At 40.6% G+C, this 24,105-nt stretch overlaps 1 protein-coding gene, 1 long non-coding RNA gene and 1 other non-coding gene across 7 annotated transcripts in view; 1 reads left to right on the forward strand and 2 right to left on the reverse strand.

Moving 5' to 3' along the window:
• POU6F2 (POU class 6 homeobox 2) overlaps window positions 1–24,105 on the forward strand; it is a 490,693-nt gene that overhangs the window by 343,134 nt on the left and 123,454 nt on the right. For all 5 annotated transcript variants that reach the window (NM_007252.4, NM_001166018.2, NM_001370959.1 and 2 more), the window contains one exon: window positions 18,600–18,973. In NM_007252.4, the coding sequence (NP_009183.3) occupies window positions 18,600–18,973 (374 nt within the window). The remainder of the gene's footprint in view (window positions 1–18,599; window positions 18,974–24,105) is intronic.
• LOC105375239 (uncharacterized) lies at window positions 6,515–18,078 on the reverse strand. The gene is made up of 3 exons (XR_927187.3): window positions 13,678–18,078; window positions 9,099–9,225; window positions 6,515–6,551 (listed from the first exon to the last, which is right to left on the reverse strand). It is a non-coding gene; the product is annotated as an uncharacterized LOC105375239 (long non-coding RNA).
• SNORA20B (small nucleolar RNA, H/ACA box 20B) lies at window positions 7,961–8,092 on the reverse strand. The gene has a single exon (NR_145730.1). It is a non-coding gene; the product is annotated as a small nucleolar RNA, H/ACA box 20B (small nucleolar RNA).

The following is a 24,105-nucleotide window of genomic DNA, read 5'->3' on the forward strand; positions in this document are numbered from 1 at the left end:
GAGCCCTTGGTCTCAAAAATAAATAAATAACAATTCTTCTATAACATAGTACTATTATAACAATATATTGTAATAAAAGTTATATGAATGTGGTCTCTCACTCCCTCTCTCAAAATACTGTAATCTTTTCAGACCACAGGTTACTGAAACCAAGGAAAGAAAAACCACAAGATAAGGGGGCACTATTGTGTGTACCATAACCAGGGCATCACTTCATTATACCTACTTTGTGTAAATGGGAGCGGAAGAGGCTGCCCAGAAAGAAGAGCTGAGCTTTGAAAGAAGGGTAGGATCATGACAGAGGGAAATAGAAGGAGGGGGAGCTAAGGGGTCATTTCAGAAAGCAGAACAAATCATGAGCAAAAGCCAGGTGTGAGTGTGAAATGACGTGCAGTGGGCAGCTGGAGTGTGAGGTTACACCCAGAAGAATATTGGGAGCTAAAACCTGAAAGTGGGCTTAGAGCAGAGTCGTGAAGGGCTTTCATGTGAAGGGAGATGATGTGTACTCTCTGGAGATGTGGGGAGACAGTGAAAATTATTAACCAAGAAGAAATATTGACATATCACCTTGTGCTTGAGCATTTGCATGTCTGTTTTCCCAGATAGGATGTGAATGAAGTGCAGGAAGGCAGAATCACAGTTGAAGTTATGTTTATAAGTTCAATTGTGTGCACATTCCCCAGCCTAATGCAGGTGCTTAATAAATTTTTAGAGTAAGGAGAGAAGATGCATTGGAAGGAAGGGAGGAAAATGGAGGAGGAAGAAAGGAGGAAGGGAGAGGGAGAAAGAGAAGTAGGGGAGGAGGGAGCTATACTTTAAGAATAAACATTGTATATATTTATATATATATAGAGAGAGAGAGACAGAGAGAGAGATAGAGAGAGAGAGAAAATGGGAGACTATTACATGAGTCCAGACAAACAATGAGAGCCTTCATGAAGTAAGTACCTTATAGTTTTGAGTTGCTATCTTGCCGTAAAACTCAAATTCTCATCCTCCTCTAAATAGCTTTTCTATAAACTGTTTGAAATTAGTGTTAAATGTTCTCATTCATTGTGAGTAGAAGGGATCTTTGTGTTGCTTTACCCGTCCTATTAGCGAATCTGTGCTCATCCATCCTATACTTTTGCCTGGTTCCCCTTAGGGACAGAGCATGCAATTGCAGATGGCCAGGAGTGGAGCGTGACCAGGGGAAGAGAAGTGAGTAACTGACCCATGGGCCTCACTTGCACCTTATGCTTTGGCCCTTCCGCCGCCTGCTCACTCAACAGGGCAACGTGTTTGTTATGCCTGGCTGACTTTTACATCCTGCCAGCCCAGACATACTAAAAACCTGACCTTCAACTCAAACCCTCTTAATCCATGTGCTCTATTATGTTTCTCTCCAGATTGAGTGGAATTTGGGTCAGCCCTTGGTTAGGATGACATTTTTCGCTCTTTTAAGATTATGATTTAATCTGTCCATCTCAGACCTACCTGCAGTACTTTTCTGTTTATCCAGATAACCTTTCAGGGCTCTCCAAGCTTGTCATTTCCTCTTTAACCACATTTCATATACATATTTCCTATTGAATTCCTATAGCACACCTTCAAATCCTGGATTCTTAGGTGGTGTTCATTCACTTCCTTTAATAAGTTGTTAGTTCATAAACAAAATTATTTTACAGAATTTTTAGGATATGGCTCCAGATGCATCCAGATGGCTGCCTTGGCCTGTACAGTTATATATTTTCAAGAAAGGAACACAAGAATTTGATTTTTTAGAAAAATAAATCTATACCATTCCCCCAAATTAACTGCAGCTCCATTGCAGGCTCAGAGGTCACATGATTTATAGGTAGTCTCCTAGAACCCTGAGCAGTGGATCTTGGGAACCTCAGAAATTCTCCAGTGGTATCTCTACTTTTGTGAACTTAACCAAAGCAAGCACATGATACATGTTAGGTAGGAAGAATAAGCTGAAGTCATCAAGTGGCCAATCAAATTACAGCTCCCTACAATTATAATTCCTAATTATTTAGTGAACATCTGCTATATGCAGGTTGCTGAGAGAGAAGACAGGAAGATTTAAAAAAAAAAAAAAAGTCCTGCATAAAAATGGTTACCTTCTTTAGGGAGCTAGTTGGTAAAAGAACCATCCAGGGACACATTAATTGTGGTGCAATGCACAACAGGATGTCCCCTCATAGAATTTCAGGAGAGGGGGCAGTTCATTCTGGCTGCCATGGATCCCAGCAAGAGGACAGCTGCACTCAGCTCCAGTCCCCATGCAGGGTCATGTTGCCAGACCTTCTGGATGTGGGGTTGTGTTTTGTTTTGTCTTTAAGAAAAATGGACAATACATATTTTATGGAGGCTCTCCTGATTTTTTAGTCTTGTCAACCCATTCAAACTTTTTTCAAGCCCTGTTTCTATGTGTGGAAGTGGGACATCCCCGTCTGCTGGCTGTGGATGGCCATGCACCATCAGCTTCTACCTCTGGACTAGAAGTGAGGTTCTCAGAAGAGGTCAGAGTGTCTCTAGAAAAGTGGGTTGAAGTCAAAGTGCCCCCCCTCATTCTCTAATATTGGGCTGAGCACTATGGTTTAATTCCTTGGGCTGAGAGATATCATATTCCCTTCTTTAAAAAAATTAATACGATAATCCTATCTGTGTTTTACAAAGATAATTCTGGTGGCAGATGGGCACTTGGCAAATGGCTTGATAACATTAGTTAATTTAATAAATGAGAGAGAGAGAGTGAGGAAGGCAAGAGATTAGAGGTCAGTTAAAAGGCCCTTGCACCGCCAGGCAAGGTGGCTCACACCTGTAATCCTAGCACTTTGGGAGGCTGAGGCAGGTGATCACCTGAGGTCAAGAATTCAAGACCAGCCTGGCCAACATGGTGAAACCTCATCTCTACTAAAAATACAAAAATTAGCCAGGCCTGGTCGTGGGTGCCTGTAATCCCAGCTACTTGGGAGGCTGAGGCAGGAGAATTGCTTAGACCCTGGAGGCGGAGCTTGCAGTGAGCCAAGATAGCGCAACTGCACTCCAGCCTGGGGACAAGAGCAAAACTACATCTCAAAAAAAAAAAAAGAAAAAAAAAAGGCTCTTGCAGTGATGCAGACAAGACAAAATGAGGTTAAACAAAGGGAAATGAAAATGGAAAGGAAGTGATAAATATGGAAACCATCTGAGGGGCAGAGTGAGACCTTTGTGGAGGTCACTAATGTAGTTCCCCAAACTTCCCTGGCTCTCCCGCTCTCTGAGAGTTGACACTTTGGCACTTCCTGGTCTCCTTGCATTCAAGTGGTGCCACGTGACCAGTGCTGGCCAGTGAGTTTCAAGAGAAAGTGATGGGGGCTACTTCTGGCCCAGAGCATTCAATTCTCACTCTCAAAAGCTCTCTTTCCTTCTGGTAATGTTCAAGATAGTAGGTGCTCCACCAGCTTGGCCACCTAAGTGACTACAATGAGCTGAGCCCCCTGATGATTTAGGACACGTAAAGAAGTAAACTGTACTGGGATGTTGAGGTTGCTTGTTATCGCAGCATAACCTAGCCTATCCTGACTGATCCATTTCTATTTGCCCCTTTTGTCCACATTGCAGTAGACAAAGTAAAAATAATACTATTTTACTTCTCATAAGCAAGACCAACCATCCTGGCAGAAATCCATGAGACATTTGCAGAAAACACTTGTAATCATATAGATGATGCAACCATATTACATCCTAGCCCCATTAATAGTCCAGTATTGTATTGCTTTTTATGAATTTTCTTAGGATTCTATTTTTGATGACCCTTTTCTCGCAGCAGAGTGTAGAATTAATGTAATTATTTTGTTAAAACTGTCAGTTGCGTTCTTTTTAGCTTAGTACATATGAAAGCCTTTAAAATGAATGCGTGAATTGAATGACTAATTTGCACATCAATACAAAATAACCAAATTACTCACCCAGTATCTTCATAATCCTACTAAAGAATTCTATTGTAGAGATGGAAAGAGAAAATAAGAGTGAGAATAATAATAATATTTATGATATGAGTAACTTTTAGCATTAACACGAGTAACATTTTGCTATACAATTAAAATCATTTTATTGCAGGTTTCTTCTCAAAGAATCTGGAACAGAATTACAAATCTGGCAAAGGTATATTTTTAATCCTATATCTCAAAATATAAAAAGAGATGTAGCTTAAGAGACAGTATTATCATTTATTGTGTATCCCAAGCAAAGCTAGGATCCATGTGGTCCTAGAATCATGTCTTAGATTTCATCTGTAAAGTGAGGAAATATATGCTATCTCCTCTTCTTAAAAACTAAGCAAGAGCCAAAGAAGTAAGATCTGGAAACCCTTTTTGGCAACCCTGAAATTGTTGTATATGAACAAAATTGAATTGCCTGTTTAGGAAGTTTAAAGTTCAGCCTAGATAAGAAAGATTCGTGGCGATGTGAGAGAAATTAAAGAGAGAACATAGTCAGATCCTTAAAAAGAAGTCTCTTGCTGTATACTCCAGCTTCCACAGCCTTCTAAAGGAATCAGCCACTGCATCTTTGTCACTTAACTTTTTTTAATCTGAACTGACAGATCACTGGAAAATAACTGTAGGGAATAATCCCCACACTGGCACAGGGGATGGATTAAATCAACCATGAAAATAAGCACTGGCCCATGTGTCTATAGTCTAAAAGAAATTTGAGTGAGCATAGTGCTGTGTTTAAACCAGGCACAGTAGCCATTGAATTGTCTGTAATATTTTCTCCTACAAATCTCCATTTGAAGGAAAAGTCAAACACTGATGCTTTGAAAGCCGGGGTGCATCTTGCTTTGCTGAATTTAAGGAATTATTTTATTAACACAGGAATATAAACTGAGCATACTTCTCCCTTACCCCATACCGGTAGCATAATTTTTAGTGAATATGGCTTATGGGTTCTCTTCTACCTTAATTTTTATAAAAGTAAAAATATCCCTGGAAAACCCATGCTCAATAAATGTTAGCTCTAATTTTAAACCTTTTAACCTCCAAGGTGGATTGGCCTTCTAAGAAGTCATCAAAGATGTAAATAGGTCTTTTTCACATTAATGGAGGAAAAATAATGGGATTGAATGTGAGCACTTTTTTGAGCTGCTTCCTATCTCACCCAAATGTATATTCTGTCCTTAAACTCATTTGGTTTCAAGAAGACAGTGAGGCATAGACAGTGAATCTCAGACTTCTAGAAAAACAACAACAACCACTTGGTTATCCACGTATTGGAGAATTTGCAAAGCACAAAGAACCGTTATCCAAGGAGAGTCCCATTGTTTCTGCCATGTTCTTCACCAATCCTCTGCCAAACTCTGTAAGGAAAGAATACTACTAGTTCTTGTGTGAAGGCAAGATTCTCTGATGGATAAATTTGGTCCCATCTGCTGAGCAAACAGATTTCAAATCAAGAATCAATGTTTCCATAAACAGTCTATGGATTCCTTGCAGGTTATCCAAACATCAATTAAGCAAAATCAAGGAACATGTAGAATCTATCCACCAGAATTAAGTCAAAATGCCCACTCAAACCCTAGGAGTTCTAATTTGCTATTGCATTAACACCTGGAAAATACTTGAAATTTGATGGGAAAAGGCAGAAGAGGGTTATTTAAATTTTTTGTCTTAAAGAAGATCTTGTTAAAATGTTTAGTATTGATAGAACTGCATTTTTTTCTTTAACTCATGCTGTAGGCTTATTCGAGGAGCAGAATTTTCATACCAAGCTCCTCACAGCTGAAAATCCATAACAATGATGCTTTCCCAGAGCCTGGGGAGAGTTCAGCTAAGCCCCAGGTTGTCCTAGTTGGTCAGAAAAGTCCCAGCTCCAGTTTCCCACCTTTGCACACTTTAAGACCCTATTTTGTATTTCTTTCTCCTTTCCTACCAGACTATCTGAAATACTTTGCCTTCATGAAAACTGCATTTATTAAGAAATTCAGGACAGGCATGGAGGCTCACACCTATAATCCCAGCATTTTAGGAGGCTGAGGTGGGCGTATCACGAGGTCAGGAGATTGAGACCATCCTGGCTAACACTGTGAAACCCCGTCTCTACTAAAAATACAAAAAATCAGCCTGGCGTGGTGGCGGGCGCCTGTAGTCCCAGCTACTTGGGAGGCTGAGGCAGGAGAATGGCGTGAACCCAGGAGGTGGAGCTTGCAGGGAGCTGAGATCACGCCACTGCACTCCAGCCTGGGTGACAGAGGGAGACTCTGTCTCAAAAAAAAAAAAAACAGAAATTCATACGCACATACCCACTTAACACATATTTATATTTTAACACCTTCGTATTTTTTATCAGTCAAGGATGTTTATTACCTTCAAAGTTTCTCTTCAGTGTGAATTCGCCAGTTTCATCACACTGGATAAGCTTGACATATGGATTAACACATACAATCTTCTTAGGGGTAAAGAAGAATATCAATAGGCAAACTAGGTATGGTGGTATATGCCTGTAGTCCCAGCTACTCTGAGAGGATTGCTTGAGTCCAGGAGATCAAGGCCAGGCTGGGCAACATAGTGAGACTCCCCACTCTAAAAAAGAAAAAGAATTTTATTATGTTTATTTTATATTGAAAATAGTTCATCATGTTCTCCAGAGATCCTGATATAAAATATATAAATCATATATATATAAAATTCTGTGTACATATATATATAGACATATATATAAAATTTCTTCATTTGTAAAACAGTCATGTCTGACAACAAAGACAGTGACACCTTCAGGTTATTTCTAAGTGGACCCCCCCGCCAATAATATTAGTTCCATATATGTATGCATTAGTTTGTGTCAAAAAAAAAAAAAAGATGGTGTTCCAAGGTCAAATGAGTTTGGTCAGTATTGGATAGAAAATGCTAATTGGGTTTCTTTTTTTTGAGACAGAGTCTTGCTCTGTCGCCCAGGCTGGAGTGCAGTGGCATGATCTCAGCTCACTGCAACCTCCGTCTCCCAGGTTCAAGCAATTCTCCTGCCTCAGCCTCCCAAGTAGCTGGGACTACAGGTGCACACCACCACACCCAGCTAATTTTTGTATTTTTAGGAGAGATGGGGTTTCACCATGTTGGCCAGGATGGTCTTGATCTCCTGACCTCGTGATCCACCTGCCTTGGCCTCCCAAAGTGCTGGGATTACAGGCGTGAGCCACCGCACCCGACCGAATCGGGTTTCTTTAATGCTGAAATTCTAGCCATTAATATTCTAATGCTCACTGGATTTCCAAAAATAGGATGAAACATGCAGGATCTCCCAAATAATTTTTTTGGCCATTGGACACTTGTTTTTCATGGAACATATGTGGCAACTAGCATCCTGTGGAATAGTCCTAGGGAATATTTCTTAATCTATCGGGAACAAATATCTATTGTTGACTTTTCAAGAGAAGGTTCATGCCACAGTTGGTATCATCAGTGGAGCCAAAGATGAATTTGGTCCTGTATAGGGTCTAGATCTCAGCCTATGGCAAGAAACTCAATTTAATTAGTGTCCTAGGCTGGATCAGAATATCACAATGCTGACTCAAACTGAAGAAGATAGATTATAAAACCAGAATGCCCGTTTTAATTTACAAAGAGAAATATAATTGTCAAGGGGCGCTAATATTATTGCCCTTTGATCAACACCTTCTCTACTTGTAAAGGACAATTCCATGAAAATCCTTATCTTGTCAGAAGGTTGCAAGATGAGTATAAATACAGGACTTGACATGTCAATTTATTCAGAGATATAATGGCCACATGTGTCTACACAGTGGGATATGCCTGCCAGCTGGACCAGATAGGGCATGGCCTCCGACCACCACTCCAACCTCAGAATTGGCTTCTGTGATGCCGTCTTTCTGTACTTCCCGTAATGACTAACCTTCATCTGATAGACACTTAGTTTCTGTCAATATGTTAAAACCTTCACCAGTTCAAGGATATTTAGATATACTAGACAGAAACAATGTCTAGTCCATGCAGAAGATATGAAAACGGTTACTTCATCTCAATTTACAGTGGCTCAATATTATTTTATCCCATGTGTATAATTGCTCATATCACAGTGAGACTATAAGCAGCAAATAAATGGGAAGCCATCTGTGTCTTTAATATGGCTTGGTGTAATATATATATTATACATAACATTGTAAATCTGTATAAAATATAATTACATGGTATATATTATTGTAAATATATATAATTGTATAATATATAATAAATATAATAATATATTATTATTATATGTCTGTGTATATGAGACAGAAAGCAAGCCAAGAAGACCTGATATGATTGTGCTTTCACCAACCCATTATAAATTTGCTCCATGGAAATTCATAGCTTGCCTCTCTGAGGGCAATTTCTACTTTCTTAAGAGTACTTTAACATGGCCTGTTACATAGTATAAACACCTCTGATAATAGTTTTAAAATATATACTTTGATTCTTAGAAGTCATTTGATTCTTAGGCACCGAAGTCACCGCCCCCTTACGGAAAGTCAAAATGTTTTGGAGTTTATGCCCCGTCCCCAGCTGGAATCAATGATTCACTGGTGTTGGGAGAAGTCAAGGGAATAGAGGGACTCTGTGAGGCAGGATAAACCTCAAGGTGTCATTTATGCTTCAGAGCTCCCTGGAATCAGGATGAGGCTGGGACTTGCCCTGAAATCCTGTCTTTGCTTGGCTTCTTGCCCTCCCATCCTGCTGTCCTCACTCCCCTCCTGGTTTTTCTTGGGAGCCCTTCTTTAAATCATTTGCACTCAAATCCTTAGGTCAGGGTCTGCATCTGAGAGAGTCCAATTTAGGAGACTTACTTTATAAGGTTGTTGAGAAAACCAATGAAGAAATTAACGTCAAATACTTAAAACAGTGCCTAAAACATAGGAATTTGCTGTTATAATATAAAATGTAGCCATAGTTTTGAAACTAATTTTTGTTTAAATTTTTTATCAATGTAATACATGCATGTGGTTAAAAATCAATTCAATCCACAAGGCTTCTGAAAACATGCTAAGTTCTCAGCCATCCTCCTCTCCACCCTCAGGATTACTCCCCAGGAGAATCACATTTAACCGTTTCTGGTTTTAGGCTTTATGAGTTTACCTCCGTATTTCCAAAGACTTCCAGTTTATCTCTGTCTTTTATTAACTTGATATATCATCTGTTCATTTCCTGCTATGGAGTATGAGGGTTTAGTTCACTTACAACATCTCTCACTCTCTTTTTCTCCCTGCTCCAAAGAGAAGCATAGCACGATTTTTAGTTAACTGTATAATTTTAAGTAGCATGTTTAAGTCTCTATTTGTTCTGTCAACTGCAGAGCCATCTCTTTACTCTCCACGTAGTACCCCGGTCCTCCCTTCCCCTCCTCCCTCCCACCAAGCATTCCCTTCCACGTGGTCAAGGATGATAGCTTTTGTGTTCTCGTGAAATCTTTCATGCTTTGTTTATAGGTTGTTCCAAAAATTGCAAGTCAGTAAACACTCTTGACTTTAATATGGCTACCTTATTATTTCCTGCAGAGCCAAAAAAATACGCAGTGATCAAGTATTCCTCTCAGTGTGGATTTTAGTGCCACTCAAAGAAAACACCCAAGTGCATCATCCTTTCATACTCCACCAAATGCTCAAAATCACACCACATTTTACTTTCAATTAAGTTGTTTATTTTAATTGACATTGAAATTGTACATATTTGTGGGTTACCATTTGATATTTCCATGCATATCTATGTTGTATTCATTATTTCGTGCATTTATCATTTTCTCTTCTAGCTACTTTGTAATGTACAATACCTTACTGTTACCCAGTCACCCTACTGTGCAACAGAACACCAGAACTTACTCCTCCTATCTAATTTTAAGTCTGTACCCATTGACCAAGCTTTGCCTCTCCTCCCCTGACCCTTCCCCACTCTCTGGTAAACACTGTTCTACTCTCTGCTTCTATGGCTTTTCTTTTTTAGATGCCACATATGAGTGAGATCATGTGGTATTTGTCTTTTTGTGTCTGGTTTATCTCACTTAACATAATGTCCTCGGGGTTCATTTATGTTGCTGCAAATGACAGAATTTCATTCATTTTATGGCTAAACAGTATTCCGTTATGGATATGTACCACATTTTCTTTATCCATTCACAGTTGCTGGACACTTAGGTTGATTCCATATCTTGGCTGTTGTGAATAGTGCTGCAGTAAACATGAGGGTACAGATGTCTCTTTGACTATATTGATTTGTCTTTGTATATACATCTAATAGTGGGATTGCTAGATTATATAGTAGTTCCATTTTAGACTTTTTGAGGAACCTCTATGCTGTTTTCCACAAAGGCTGTCTTAGTTTGAAATCCCACCAATAGTATGTAAGTGTTCCCTCTTCACGTCCTCACCAATGCTTGTTTTCTGTCTTTTAGATAATAACCATTTTAACGGAGTGAGGTGGTATCTCACTCCGGTTTTGTTTTGTTTTGTTTTGTTGTTGTTGTTTTTGAAATGGAGTCTCGCTCTGTCACTCTGGCTGGAGTGCAGTGGTGCGATCTCGGCTCACTGCAACCTCCACCTCCTGGGTCCAAGCGATTCTCCTGCCTCAACCTCCTGAGTAGCTGGGACTACAGGCACACGCCACCACGCCCAGCTAATTTTTGTATATTTTTTAGTAGAGACGGGGTTTCACCACGTTGGCCAGGCTGGTCTCGAACTCCTGACCTCAAGTGACCTGGCCGCCTCGGCCTCCCAGAGTGTTGGGATTACAGGCGTGAGCCACCGCGCCCGGCCTCGCTGTGGTTTTGAAAGGCATTTCCCTGATAAGTAGTACATCACATTTTATTGCACAATTGGTTTATGTTTGTTTCTCCTATTGTTTCTCATAAAACCATGCATTTGTTTCTTATGCTGTTTGTTTGTTTTGCCAGAAATTTCTTATTGCCCTTCCTTTTGAAATCATTATTATTAGTGTTATTATAAAAAGAAATGTGTATCTTCTTTAGGAAGTGGCTAGCATCTTTTCATTTCTTACTTTTTCTTCAGCATTGAATCCAACAGTTTTTCTCCTGGAAGCTCAATGACTTCTTGTTTTAATTTGGAACAGCTGCTTCATATTTGGATTGTGACTTTCCCTGACAGCTTTGATTTTTCCTGAATTTTCTTGTTTCTTTTTTCACATTCTCAGATTCTTCCAAAATCTGAGATATTTTTTCATTACTATGGAATCCCCCTTTTTTCTGCAGATTTTTCCCCTTACAGCCTCTGCCCCTATGCTCTGCTGTGGACTGGCTGCTGTCTAGAACTGCTATACAGCTGTCACAGTGGGGCTCCCTTGTGTTGCTCTCTTGAGTGACTTCAACGCTGTTTCCTGGGTCCTTTGTCTTCCTCTTCCTTAGTTCATAACCTTATTTTGCTGAAGTACCTATTCAACTTTGTAAGAAAAAGTATGTAAGGATAAAATTATGTAAAGAGAAGATGTCTAAGTCTTTGTAAGTTCCAAAATGGGCCTTCGTCTGCTCTGGCCCTGGCCAGACAGTTGAGTTAGCAATAGAATTCTTGGTGGGAGATAACTTTCTCTCAGAACTTTGAAGGCATTGGTCCTCTGATTTTAGCTATATAGTTTTGCTATTGAGAGGTATGATAGCAGTTTGATTTATGTTTCTTTGTATGTGGCCCTTCATTTTCTCTCCAAAATCTTTTTGGATTTTAAAAGATCTTTATCTTTGGTGTCCTGCAGTTTCATGGGGGAATAGTCTAGGTGTGGATTGTTTTTCTTTCATCTTGGTTGGCACTCAGTAGACAACTGGAAGGACTGGGAAAAGCAATGGAGAGCTCAGTGTTTTGGGGTGAGATTGTAGGCTGACTGGCTTTTTTAGGGTAGGTGAGAGGAGAAGCACTTTACTTTGGGGTGCCCACATCCACATTAGAATGTTTTCTCAATTTCTTTCTCTTACTTTTTTGAGATTTTAGGCCTAGATGGGGTTATTCTGCAGGTGGAAATAGTGGGGAAGTCAGCTGTTCCATAAAGAGACCTCAGCAAGCACCCCCTGGGAACTCATGGGGGACTTGCCACCTCTGAGTGCTTAGCCCCCGCCCCCAACACTTTGCTGAGCAGGTGCAGCTCCCCTGGGGTAGTCCTGCATAGCTTCTACATTCTACTTTACATCCTTCGCTTTTTATCTTTCCTATTTAATGAGGTATCTAAAAGCTAATATTAGGTCTCAGACTTAACCTGTCCTAAAACATTCCAGTAAGTGTGCCCTAAAATGTCAACAAAGGCGGTAGTGGTTGGTGAATTCCCCTAATTTCCAAAACAAAAGGCACTAAAGAACACTGGGTGATTTCCAGATGTCTATTTCTTTTCTTTCCAACCAATGATCTTGTTTCAATTTTTTTTTTCTAATGGCAGAACAATTTGTTTAAAAGAAATAGTCTCAGGCCGGGCGTGGTGGCTCACACCTATAATCCCAGCACTTTGGGAGGCTGAGGCAGGCAGATCACGAGGTCAGGAGACCAAGACCAGCCTGGCTAACATGGTGAAACCCCATCTCTACCAAAAATACAAAAAATTAGCCTGGCACAGTGGCACGCGCCTATAGTCCCAGCTACTCGGGAGGCTGAGGCAGGAGAATCGCTTGAACCTGGGAGGCAGAGGTTGCAGTGAGCCAAGATTGTGCCACTGCACTCCAGCCTGGGTGACAGAGTGAGACTTTGTCTCAAAAATAAATAAATAAATATAAAAATAGTCTCAGTGTTGGGGAGCTGCATTTGCAAGCTGATCTGGTTGAAAGTCAAGGGAAAAGTCGCACCCTCCCCACTTGCTGCAGCTCCCTGTAGGGCTGCTAGGAGCCCCAAGGGTAATGGTTCCCAATCCCCTGAGGTAGGTCTTTAGAATGCAGATTTTGCCCTACTCCCTGGAATCTAATTTCCTTACAAGCTCCCTTGGTGATTCTGGTCCACAATTTGAGATAGGCTGCTAGAGTTGGCAGAAACAATCAACCTAAGAAAGAAGCTTGGGTGGCTCAGACAATACAAGGAAATGTGTAGGGATGTTTTCATTAGAAGAATTTATCTTTATTTTCCCCTGACATCTCAAGAGACACTTAGATCTCTGCCTTAAATGCAAAAGAAGCAAAAAGACAGATTAAGGACATGTGTAGCAATACTTCTGGAGCTGATAACACTGACCATATGCAAGATGGTCACACATCATAGACTCTGAGGCAGAATTGACTTTGCTTGTTTCTGACATTGTTGCCAAGAATAAAGACAGAATTCTGGGTACACATGAACATAAAAATAGAAATAGTAGACACTGAGGACTCCAAAACAGGGAGGATTGGAGGCATATGACAGATGAAAAATTACCTCTGGAGTACAATGTTCAATATTTGAGGAATGGGTACATTAGAAGCCAAATTACCACTATTATACACAATCGACTCACGTAACAAACATGCACATATACCTCCTGAATCTAAAATTTGAAAAATTAAAAAAAAAAAAGAATAAAGGCAGACCTCCCAGCAAGTTTTCACCTTCTACACTTTTTCAAAATCCCCAGTCCGCAGCCATCTACCTTTTCCCATCGACTTTGCAAAACTTCCATCTGCGGGTGCAGGCTAGGGATACCCTTACTGGGGACACCAGAAGGGGTTTCTGATTTGCATCCTTGGTTCAGCTCCCTGAGATATTCTTACCTAATGGGCATGTGTGGATGTTCCATTTACTAATTCAGATTCCTCCTTTTGGGATGTTCAAGATTCCTGTTTTTTCTTCTTCTAGAGATCTTAGTGGGGAGCAAAAGCACACAATAAATACAGAGTTAGGGAGGCAAAGGCTACATCAGGGAACACAGGTTTTTCCATGGGCCCATTGATTCTTTACAACTGGGGCTGATCTGGGAGTTGCTTCCCCCAGTTAGGGACAAATCCAGCTGGGGAAATCTTAGATGCCACCCCGGAGATACTCTAGAGACAATATGTCACAGAGTTCTGTGGACAAGGTAAACTGATGCCTAGTTACTTTCCTTAAACTGGCACCAAGCCTGAGCACAGAGCTGCTGCCGCCCTATGTCTAAGCATGGAGGAGGCATTTTCTTACCATCAAGGTAAACTAGTGGTATGAATAACATGTACCATGGCCCTTCTCCACCTCCCTTCCATTCATACCTCTCACCTCCCTTCCTGCAACCACTCTGTTGCTTATAATAACAGCCATGTTTCTCTGTTCCTTATAATAACTCGTGGCTCATACTCAAATTAGCATCTTTATCTTTGAAACACACATTTACATTTCTCATCAGCAGGCTTTAAACAAATGATTTGCCTGCAGTAGGACTGAGGTACAACTGTACACTTTCCCAGGAGCCGAACAAGCAGACCCTTCAATTTAGGCTCAATAATGAGATACCTGAGCCACCTCTTCTCACAAGCACAGCCACGGAGCGCATCTTTCTGCATGTGAGCAGTCTTCTGTGGTCAAACCCTTAGGAGAAAATTGGTTGCCTCATCATTACAAATAATCCTGTCATGTAAGAGGTTTTGGGAAGTGCCCAGGGTATTCACTGGCTGTGTAAACTTGGGAAGGTCACTTAACCTTTCTGAGACTGAGTTCTATATGTATAACATGGCAATAACACCATCTATCCATACAGTTGTCTTGAAAAGCTAATTCATCATATTAAATGAAGGTATCTTCAAACTGTGAAGCACTGTCTTACTTTTAACCGAAATTTCCTTGGCTGTTCTGTGCCTGCTCAGTGTCCAGCTTCCAAGTCTTCCCCAGCATTTCTCGAAGCCATTGGGGTGGGGTCTTGTGTGCACCTGAAAATGAGTCCACAGTTCCCAACGCCCTGCCCTGCCAATCCTGTGCCTTTCCAGTAGGCACAATGTGTTTCTCCCTGTGCCGGCATCCTGGCCAAGGCTCTCCTGTGGCTCCAACAGGACAGCCCTTGCTGGTGGCTGCCCTGACCCCTCAGGACCATAAAGCCATGAAGAGCAAAGGAGAAGTATGCTCTTGCCCTTTGGCTTCCCAGGGCAATGTAACTTGGTCCCCAGTGTGTGAATATAGACAAACAGCTCTTTTCTTGTAGTACAATACACATAACATACAACTTGCCACTTTAACTATTTAACACTTTATTAAATCTATTTTAACTATTAACTAAATGTATGATTCAGTGACATTAAGTATATTTTCAGTTTTGTCCAACCATTTCCACTGTCTAGTTTCAGAATTATTTCTTCACCTTAAAAGGAAACTCACACCCACTGGCATCTCCTCCCCATCCCTTCCACCTTCAGAGCCTGGCATCCACTCCTCTGCCTTCTGTCTCTATGGACTCACTTATTCTGGACATTTCATATGAATGAAATGTGGCCAAGGCTGTCTGGCTTCTTTCACTTAGTGTCATATTTTCAAGGTTACTCTTCTTGTTTTTCCTTGGTGTTCTTTCTCTCCTTAGGACCAGGCTTGCACCGAGGGGCTGGGATGAGGATGGGTTTGGATAAGCATTACCACAAGGCTTCTTTCCAGGATTCCTGGTCACTTTCAGTGATAAGCCCTGCTGCTTCCTTCCTCCTCAGCGTGGGTTTTCTGCCCTCTGTAAACATATCCAGATGAGTCTACTCCAGCTCCCAGACATACCTGGAGGTATGTGAACAGCAGTGAGTAATGGCTGTTCTCCTTCCTAATAGGCTTTCACACCCAATCCACCAGTTTGCCAGCCATGCCCACATTTGCCTGAGCCTGAGAAGTCCAAGTAAATGCTGAAGTGGAGATGCTGACTAGAGTGCTTATAATAGTATGGTCTTATATTTTGGCATAAAGTAGGTTAGGATGTTGCTAGAAATCATACTTCCTTTAGCATTTGAGCACCATTTTTCCTTCTGTACATTGCTAAGTATAGAACACATTTGTATTTTTCCAGAATCTTCCACAGACTTGCTTTTCAAGTGCTTTTGACTTTTCTTGTGTAAATCCCATCCGATACAATTCTGCTACCTCTGATGATGTGGCTCCGTTTATGTGTAGGGGTTTACTGAGGAAACTTTTAACAAAGATTCAATATGAGAAATTGTTTACAATTTACAGCTAATATATAGAAACTGAACAAATTGAGAAATGCAGGATTCTTGGCTTCTTTGTCATGTTAAATTATTTATTTGGGAAGTTTCAAGACACGGCTTTACCGTAACTCTCTCTTCTCTCTAGGAAATTTGGTTTGATGAAATTTTGTTTTGTGTTTCTTTTTCAAAAATTTAAAGTAAATTTTCAGAATGTATTTCTGTGTATCCCTTTTCCTTTCATAGCTGCTGTTTCTGCAGTTAAATTTTACATTTAACATTGGCCTATGTCGTGTATAGTAACAAGACAGAGAGGAAACCATCATAAAAGGGAATAAATACCAGGGAAGAAAGTAAAGTCTTTAACCTTCCCTGCTTAGGGTCAGAATTTTACCCCAACAAGCATCATTTTATCTGCAAACATTCTTTGTAGTTCAAATATTAATACATCCTTGAACCTTCCTAACTGTACTCATCTTATTTTCTCATTCTTCTCTGTCATATTTCACTATGCTTTACACAATGAGCCACTTCGATGCACTATATTTTCACATTTTTTAACTCTCATTTTCATGTTAGTGTGTAGGTGGCTTTGGTGTTTTTCAGACCCAAGTTACGTTCATATATGCCCCTCCTGCTTTCCTTTGCATCTGGTGTATACCTGAACATATTTAATTCTGTATTATTTTTTGCTTGCAGATGTCAAATTAGTCTATGTAACTCAAAGGCTTAGGTTTATGCCTTTCCAGTCAAGCTGCTGTTATGGAAAACAAATACCCAAGCAATATGAACTTACGGATATGGAGGAAGGGAGACATATTTGGGACCAAGGCTCATTAGTAGGTTAGGGTCTGCTGTACCTACCCGTCTGCCAACATCTATCTGCCAATATTCCCAGACTTTCCTGTTTCTAAATGCTGATTTAGATAAATGCTTTTCTAACCAAAATGAAGCAGTATGGTATTTAAGTCAACCATGGAAATAAGCATTAACATATGTGCCCCCACCTGAAAGACATCAGGTTAGGTTCGATTTGAATCAGGCAGGAGGCCAGATGCAATCAAGTCCCTGAAGTCTGGAACTCCACCAGAAGAAGAGATCAGGCTCCCCTGCCCCAGGATCCTCCAGACTGCAGAAGATCTAGGGAGGTCAGAATAGAGCAGGGCTCCCACATCTTTGATAAAATGTGATTTTGTAAACTAGAAGAAAGGGGGAAATGGCAAAAGCAGGCCTTTCTCTAAAAGGTCTAATAAACGGGATGATGCCGGGGTACTTTCCAGGCCTCCCTCATGCCATCTCTATCTCTACGATTACATCACAAGCCCCAGAACACCCTGGCTCTACACGCAAGGCAGGCCACACACTGGACTGCTTGCATAGACCTAGAGCAGTTCAGTGGCTCAGTGAGGACTTGCTATCCCAACTGGACCAAGTTGGAAGCCCTACATGGTATGTGAGATCACAGAATTGGTATTTGATACCCCTGGAAATGGTTGCATCGTCATTTCACCAATACAGCTACACTTTCCTCTAAGGCCTGTGGGTTTGACATTGATCCTTATATGTTTATTTGTTCATGGGCTTGTTAGAAAGCTTTTAGATTGAGATTTAGGCAAAAAAGAAAGTGAACTTGGTTTTTAGCCGTAAATTTCTCTAGACCATTCTTAGGTCAAACTAACCAGCTTCCTTCTGCAGAAATTGTTCAGTGCTACATGGGCATGTGAGAACAAATTTTGCGTGCTCAGTGCTAAGACACTTTCTCCCACCAACTCTACCTTTCTCATAACAAGATCTTAAAAGATGATTTCATTCCCTCAGTCCTTAGGTGCTGTCCTGTCCTCAGGTGCTGATGTCTAATCACCACACTGTTTGGTTCAGTCACCTGCTATCATCCCTCCAGTTTAGGGGTTCTGTCTCTTTAATCAGCAGGCAAAAAATTCAGACTCAGGCTTTTGACCCTGCAAAATGGAGAAGCATGTACTGCTTTTGAATTTTTAAAAAAAAAAAAAAACAGTTAGAAATTTGACACTAAGACATCTAAGCAACTGGGTGGAGATCTGAAGTAGCAAGTGAAAATGATACCATTAATGATATTGATGATGGATGTAAAGGCAATTGCAAACAATTGGTTTTTTGTTCTTAACTCCAGTCAAACACTTACCAAAACAACTAAACTGGTTGGACTTCAACAATCTAAATGAAATCTTGAAGCATGAATGTATTTCCCATGCAGTATGGAAAGGAAGAGAGAGAGAAAGTAGTTAAAAAACAATCTCCATTCCTACCACACACCTTTGGCTTGCATTGTTCACCACCTTTTAAAGTAATGCCTGATGTGTTATATGCTGGTCCTCCAGAAATTCTAAACTTTCCCCAGAAGTGACCTTTGTTCTCCCAGTGCCTCACAACACTCTTAAATACCAAAGAGCTTCAGGGGGCAAGGACAAGAATTTTCTAAAGGAAACCCTTCTCCACTTGCACTGGACAGGCTGTCAAGACCCAGCAAGACACTTTGTCATGTTATCTCACTCCACATTCGCTTTCTCTCCTTGTAGCTACCTCATCCCTGAACTCCCAGCTCCAGCAGCTCCAGCTCCAGCTCCAGCAGCAGCAGCAGCAGCAGCAGCAGCAGCCTCCCCCGTCAACCAACCAGCACCCGCAACCAGCCCCACAGGCGCCCTCGCAGTCCCAGCAGCAGCCGCTGCAGCCCACCCCACCCCAGCAGCCACCACCCGCCTCTCAGCAGCCGCCAGCTCCTACATCTCAGCTGCAACAGGCGCCTCAGCCCCAGCAGCACCAACCCCACTCCCACTCCCAGAACCAGAACCAACCATCTCCAACCCAGCAGAGCTCCAGCCCCCCGCAGAAACCTAGTCAGTCTCCAGGACATGGCCTGCCTTCACCGCTCACGCCACCCAATCCTCTACAGGTATGCTCCCCGTGCTTCCCGTCTGCCCCTAGGAGCACCAAGGACCTTTCCATGGGGTGGTGCCATCCCCAAAGGCAGAGGGACCACACAAAACTTAGCATCCAGTTCTGCAGCATCTAATTCAAATTGATCTCTTAGACATAGGGAAGAAGAAGCAACTAGAAGGCAACTGGGGATGCATGTAAACGAAACAAATAGAAGCCCATTTCTGTTGCCCTCCAAAGGATAAATGTTATCTGTTTCCTTCTGTGAGAGGCCAGCACTATAAGTGCATTTGGAGCCTGTAATAATTCCATTTTATGATACTTTTTGAAGGCAGCAAAGATAGCATCCAATTAAAATTATTACTAGCACAGTTTTGTAGCCCCATGGAGAACTGCATCTACTGTCCATGAGGCATGGTGGTTATTTCTCTATATTATGAATACAACAGTGTCTCACCTTAAGTACTTTGTGCTCTTTTGTTTCTATTTTTCTAAAGACTCTCTGGGGTTAGGAGGGCAAAGAAATTTAGCCCCAGTCTTATGTCCCAGATTCCAACCATTACTCCACAGACTAACAAGTACTCTAAATTCATGCCAAGAGCCTCAACCAATATGCATCTTTATAAAGGAATAAAACTTCTATAGGTTTACTTTATTACTGTGAGGCTGAGAGCTTCATAAATAGATATTTCAGGCTAACCATGAGAGCTCATCTATAACCTACCTATTGAGAAGGAATGGATAGGTGCATTCATATATATATATATATATATATGACTTTAAACTTCAGAAAACCATTTTTAACTTAGGTGTCTTTAAAATAAATTAGCTTCAAAACATAATGACTGTGATGTCATCATATCAGATCCAGAAATTAATAACTCAGCCAAGCCATCCATTCTTTGACTTGCACAATGACATTTTTCCCTGTGAGATTTCAGACAATCTCGTGTATTTGTAGTACTGTGACAAAGTTAAACAGAGTGAGCAGCCTGTGGACCTGTTTCAAGTGCCATCTCATCCCCTTGCCATAGTGGTGGGTATAAACCTCAGTCAGTCCGGCTCTCCCCAGCCTGAGAATGACAGTAGCGATGGTATCCTTGGCTCCTAAATAGAAAAGTATACAAAATAAAGACAGGTTGGTACACGGACAGAAAGGCAGGTGGATTAGAGACTTGGTATTTTAGAACTTAGTTTGTTGTCCCATAGCTTTGTCTCTTCCAATTTGGATTCTCAGTGGTGTGGCCCAAAGCATTCCTAGAAATGAACACATTTGGGAGAGATGAGTCATTGTGTTTTTCTGGGCTCTTGGGCCAGGGCTACTTTCAATTTGAACATTTTCATGAGTGGAGTTTCAAGATGTATTTATACAATTCTTACGATGGTGAGACAACGTAACACCTTTGACCTAGGACTAAAATGAACATGGTCCAAAAACGTCTTCATTGTCCACTTGACACCTACTGAAAGAGCAGGTGTCATCAAATTTACAGAAGGCATGATTACAGCAACCTTAATGTTGGCAGCATTTGGGATTCAACTTTATTATTCCAAAAAATTAATTTAATGCTTTTTAAGAACACTTACATTAGATGTACCTATATACCATCTAATTTCTCTATTCCAGGCACCAAAATAGGTAAAATTACCAAAGAAAAATATTGCCCTTCCTTGAGGAGTGAAATTACTTAGGTGTGTCCCCAGTTGTCCGATATAGTCCAGTATTCCTTCCTGTTAGGTGAAAGTTTTGAGCTCTGTGGACCTCAGCCTTCCCTGAACACTGTCAGTGTTTTATAAATTTCTGTTGGCCAGTGAGATCCCAGTGAAGACAAGCCCTGTTGAATGACTGTTGACAGGACTTTAGATGAAGTGACCACGCAGCCTCATGAAAATAAACTTAGGGGAATTTCCGAAAGTTCTCCTAACAGTTTCTCGTGGAAATCCCAGGGCTGTTTGTTTTGTTTTGGTTTTGCAACAAATGAAGGCTCAGAGCTACATTTCTTTCTTTGTAACACTGAGAGAATATTCTAATTTTTCATTTTTGAAGTTTTAACTTATAAACTTAATAAATATGTTTAGAGTACATTTAAATATAGAGGAGCTGTTACTCTAACTTCTGTGGATCTAACAGATGACCACCAAATGAGTGACTTGCTACAAATTTTTTTTAAAACATTACTGAGAAGATGTTAAACAAATCTGTGTCGGTAGGCATAAAAGGACTTTTTTCCTTTACTACAGGCATGTATAAAGGAAATAGAGAATATTTTGGTTTAAAAAAAATTTTTACACTAGCTGCAGGCTTTTTGAGTTTGTGGAACATGGAATGTTTGAACTTTTTAAAAAGAAAACTGTTTAAAAGGAATTGCAAAGATATTTAACTCTCCAAACTAATGATCTTTATAAAGTGTTTTTGTTTGAAGATTATTAAGGGAATAAAGATCAACTAAATTCATGTATGATAGCCTAAATTTTATTTTACAACCCTTTATTTTCATGTGGGCTTTATCTTTTTACATTATTCAAAAATCTGCTGGAGAGATATTAGTTTAGAACTATGCAATGTAGATTACCAGGGAAAGCCAGTCAATTAGGTTTTTTGCTTTAAAAACAAAACTTTGGAGGACAACAATTATTTCTAAAACTGTGCAGATGCTCCCATATCTTTAGAAAAAAATAAATGTAAGTAGGTTGTGTGTTATATTTGGGTGAGGTCATTTCCTGAGATGAAAAAAAATTAATAGTGTTGGTAGGTAGTAACACTCTAAACAAAAATTATCCAAATACCTCGTATCAGGCTTTTCTGCAATATTGCAGTGTAATTTTATTTTACTCTTTTACTGAATTCTGTGAAAAGGATTACATTTACAAAACCAAGTTGTTTTAAGATAGATAGGAGTCTAAAGTATTATCCTTTCAGAGACGCACAGGTAGGGGGATCACTTTGTTTATTAATTTTGATCACTCAGCATTATAGGAGGTCTGGTGGTCTAAAGCAGACTCTAGAAGCTGCCCCTGGAGATCTGTCTATAGATTCTCCATTGAGACTCAGGACCCACCCACCCATGGCTTCGTTCTTGCCCAGGAGGCTTGAGGAGAGAAGTTCTAGACAGGAAATGCAAGGGCAGAGGTCTTCAGGGCCTAGCAGTCCCTGTAAATAAGTAAAGTAATCTTGGTTGTAGAACCCAAAATCAAATTTATAAAAACAGTGTGTGGGACAAACAAGATGCACTGTGAGCTGAATTTAGTCCTTGGGTGCCAGGATGGAGAGCAGTCCATACTCCTTATTTTTGCTCAAACCCACAGTCCACAGGCTGTGCCTGAATCTAAAACTAAAAATATAGACTGTGTTTGATAGAAGCAGAAACATAAATGGAAGCAATCTTTTGGGGCAAAAAACATGATCTAGGTAAAAAAAAAAAAAAAATTCAATACGTAATTTTAATCTGGATAGAGACCCCATAAGCATAAGAATGGTGAAATAAAAGCCTCCTTTCTATGACCTTTAAGAAGAATTTTCTTGAAAAGAAAACTCCTTGGGAGTTTTTATTTGCACTGGTAAAATTTCAGACATCTTATAAAAGCCCTATTGTGCACATATTCCCTCTTGAGTGGTCTGGAGATATGCTGGGCATGGTTGGAGCCCAGTCATGGTGTAGGTGGAAGAGGGTAACCGGAGGGCTTGAGTCCCCCTTCTAGTTCTGACCCTGCCTCCAACTAACTCATAACTTTGGATAGGTCACTTTAGCTCTCTGGACTTCATTTCCCTCATCCGTGTGGTCTGAGGTCTTTTTCAGGCCTATGAATCTATAATCTCAATGTTAGTAGGCCTCTGGAATTTTATTGGCTATTGAAAACTTGATGGTCCTGAAGATTCTCTGAGTATTCTTCAAGGTCAGGTTAATTTCTTCCCACTCAGCTGGGTGGCAGAGTGAAAAGAGAGTGGAGGACAAACATAAGTGGGATAATGATAGCAGAAGCAGATTTTATCTTAGCCAGAGAGTCCAAATTAAAGTCAAGTTTTTATCCTCAGAGAGTCACTGCTATAAGCTCTGGTCCCAGATTGCTTTTCCACACCTATACATTAGAGAAGCTTAAGAAACCAAATGCTGCATTTAACCTTGGCCTCCCACGTACCATCTTGCATGGCAGGACGCAGGATAATCTTTTCCTTTTCTTGTTCTATTGCACATTTTAATAAATAACAGAGGGAGAGAGAGATCAGTAGGAATTGGACAGTGAAAACTATCTGTGCTTATATGAGGAATGAGGGGCACGGTCACCTCCTCGGAGGTGAAGTTGCTTGAGAGCGTGAAATGTATTCTCAACCATGTGCATTTGCTAATGGAAAGGTCTAGTTACCACTCAGGCACAGCAGAGTAAAACTGCATCGGAATCCCACCTCTGTTGCGCAGTGGGCATTGCCTTCTGGTCTTCCCATTTGAGATATTTTCCCACTGGCAAACTTAGTACTAAGTTCCAAAGTGCATACATAATGGGAGAAGGTGGTACATTATCACTTTTTAAAATAAAGAGCCCAAAGCCTTGGGAAGGAGCTAGACCTACGGGACTTTCAAGTTCTCTAAAGCAAATGGTCTCCAATCATGGGTCTGCCCTATGGAAAAGACCCAGTGTCCTAGGCCAAACCCCCTCCCCCCCCAGCAATTAGTCTTAATCGGTTTACCACAATATTACTCAAGGCTCTGTGGGACTAGGTTTGTTTTTTCATCTATAAAAGGGAGGGGGTAAAATTAAATACTTTCTAGAACTCCTTCAGTTCCATTGGAGTTTTATGTTACAAACCCCTAAAACTGTGTAGAGTTGGGTGACTCTGTGGGTGTATTCATATAACTCCTTTGTGTGGCTACTGTAAATATAGAACTCAGACATCTCTCTACCTACACAGGGCTAAATCACTACGCAGAATTCTCCTAGCCAGGACTGAGATGATGGTGAGGCTTGGAAGCACTCATCTCAGATGCAGAATTTAAGGGTGTACTCAAAAATTCAGATAATGTTTGAATGAAATATTTTCAAAAATCAAAATGAACGCCAAAAGTCTATGAACAACAAAATTTCAAATTTTTAAATGCAGGATCAGTAACAGTATTGAGCCATATTGGAGTCTGAGGCAAAAGAAAAAAATCA

The sequence above is a fragment of the Homo sapiens genome, chromosome 7 (assembly GCF_000001405.40).
Source record: "Homo sapiens chromosome 7, GRCh38.p14 Primary Assembly".
Lineage (NCBI taxonomy): Eukaryota > Metazoa > Chordata > Mammalia > Primates > Hominidae > Homo > Homo sapiens.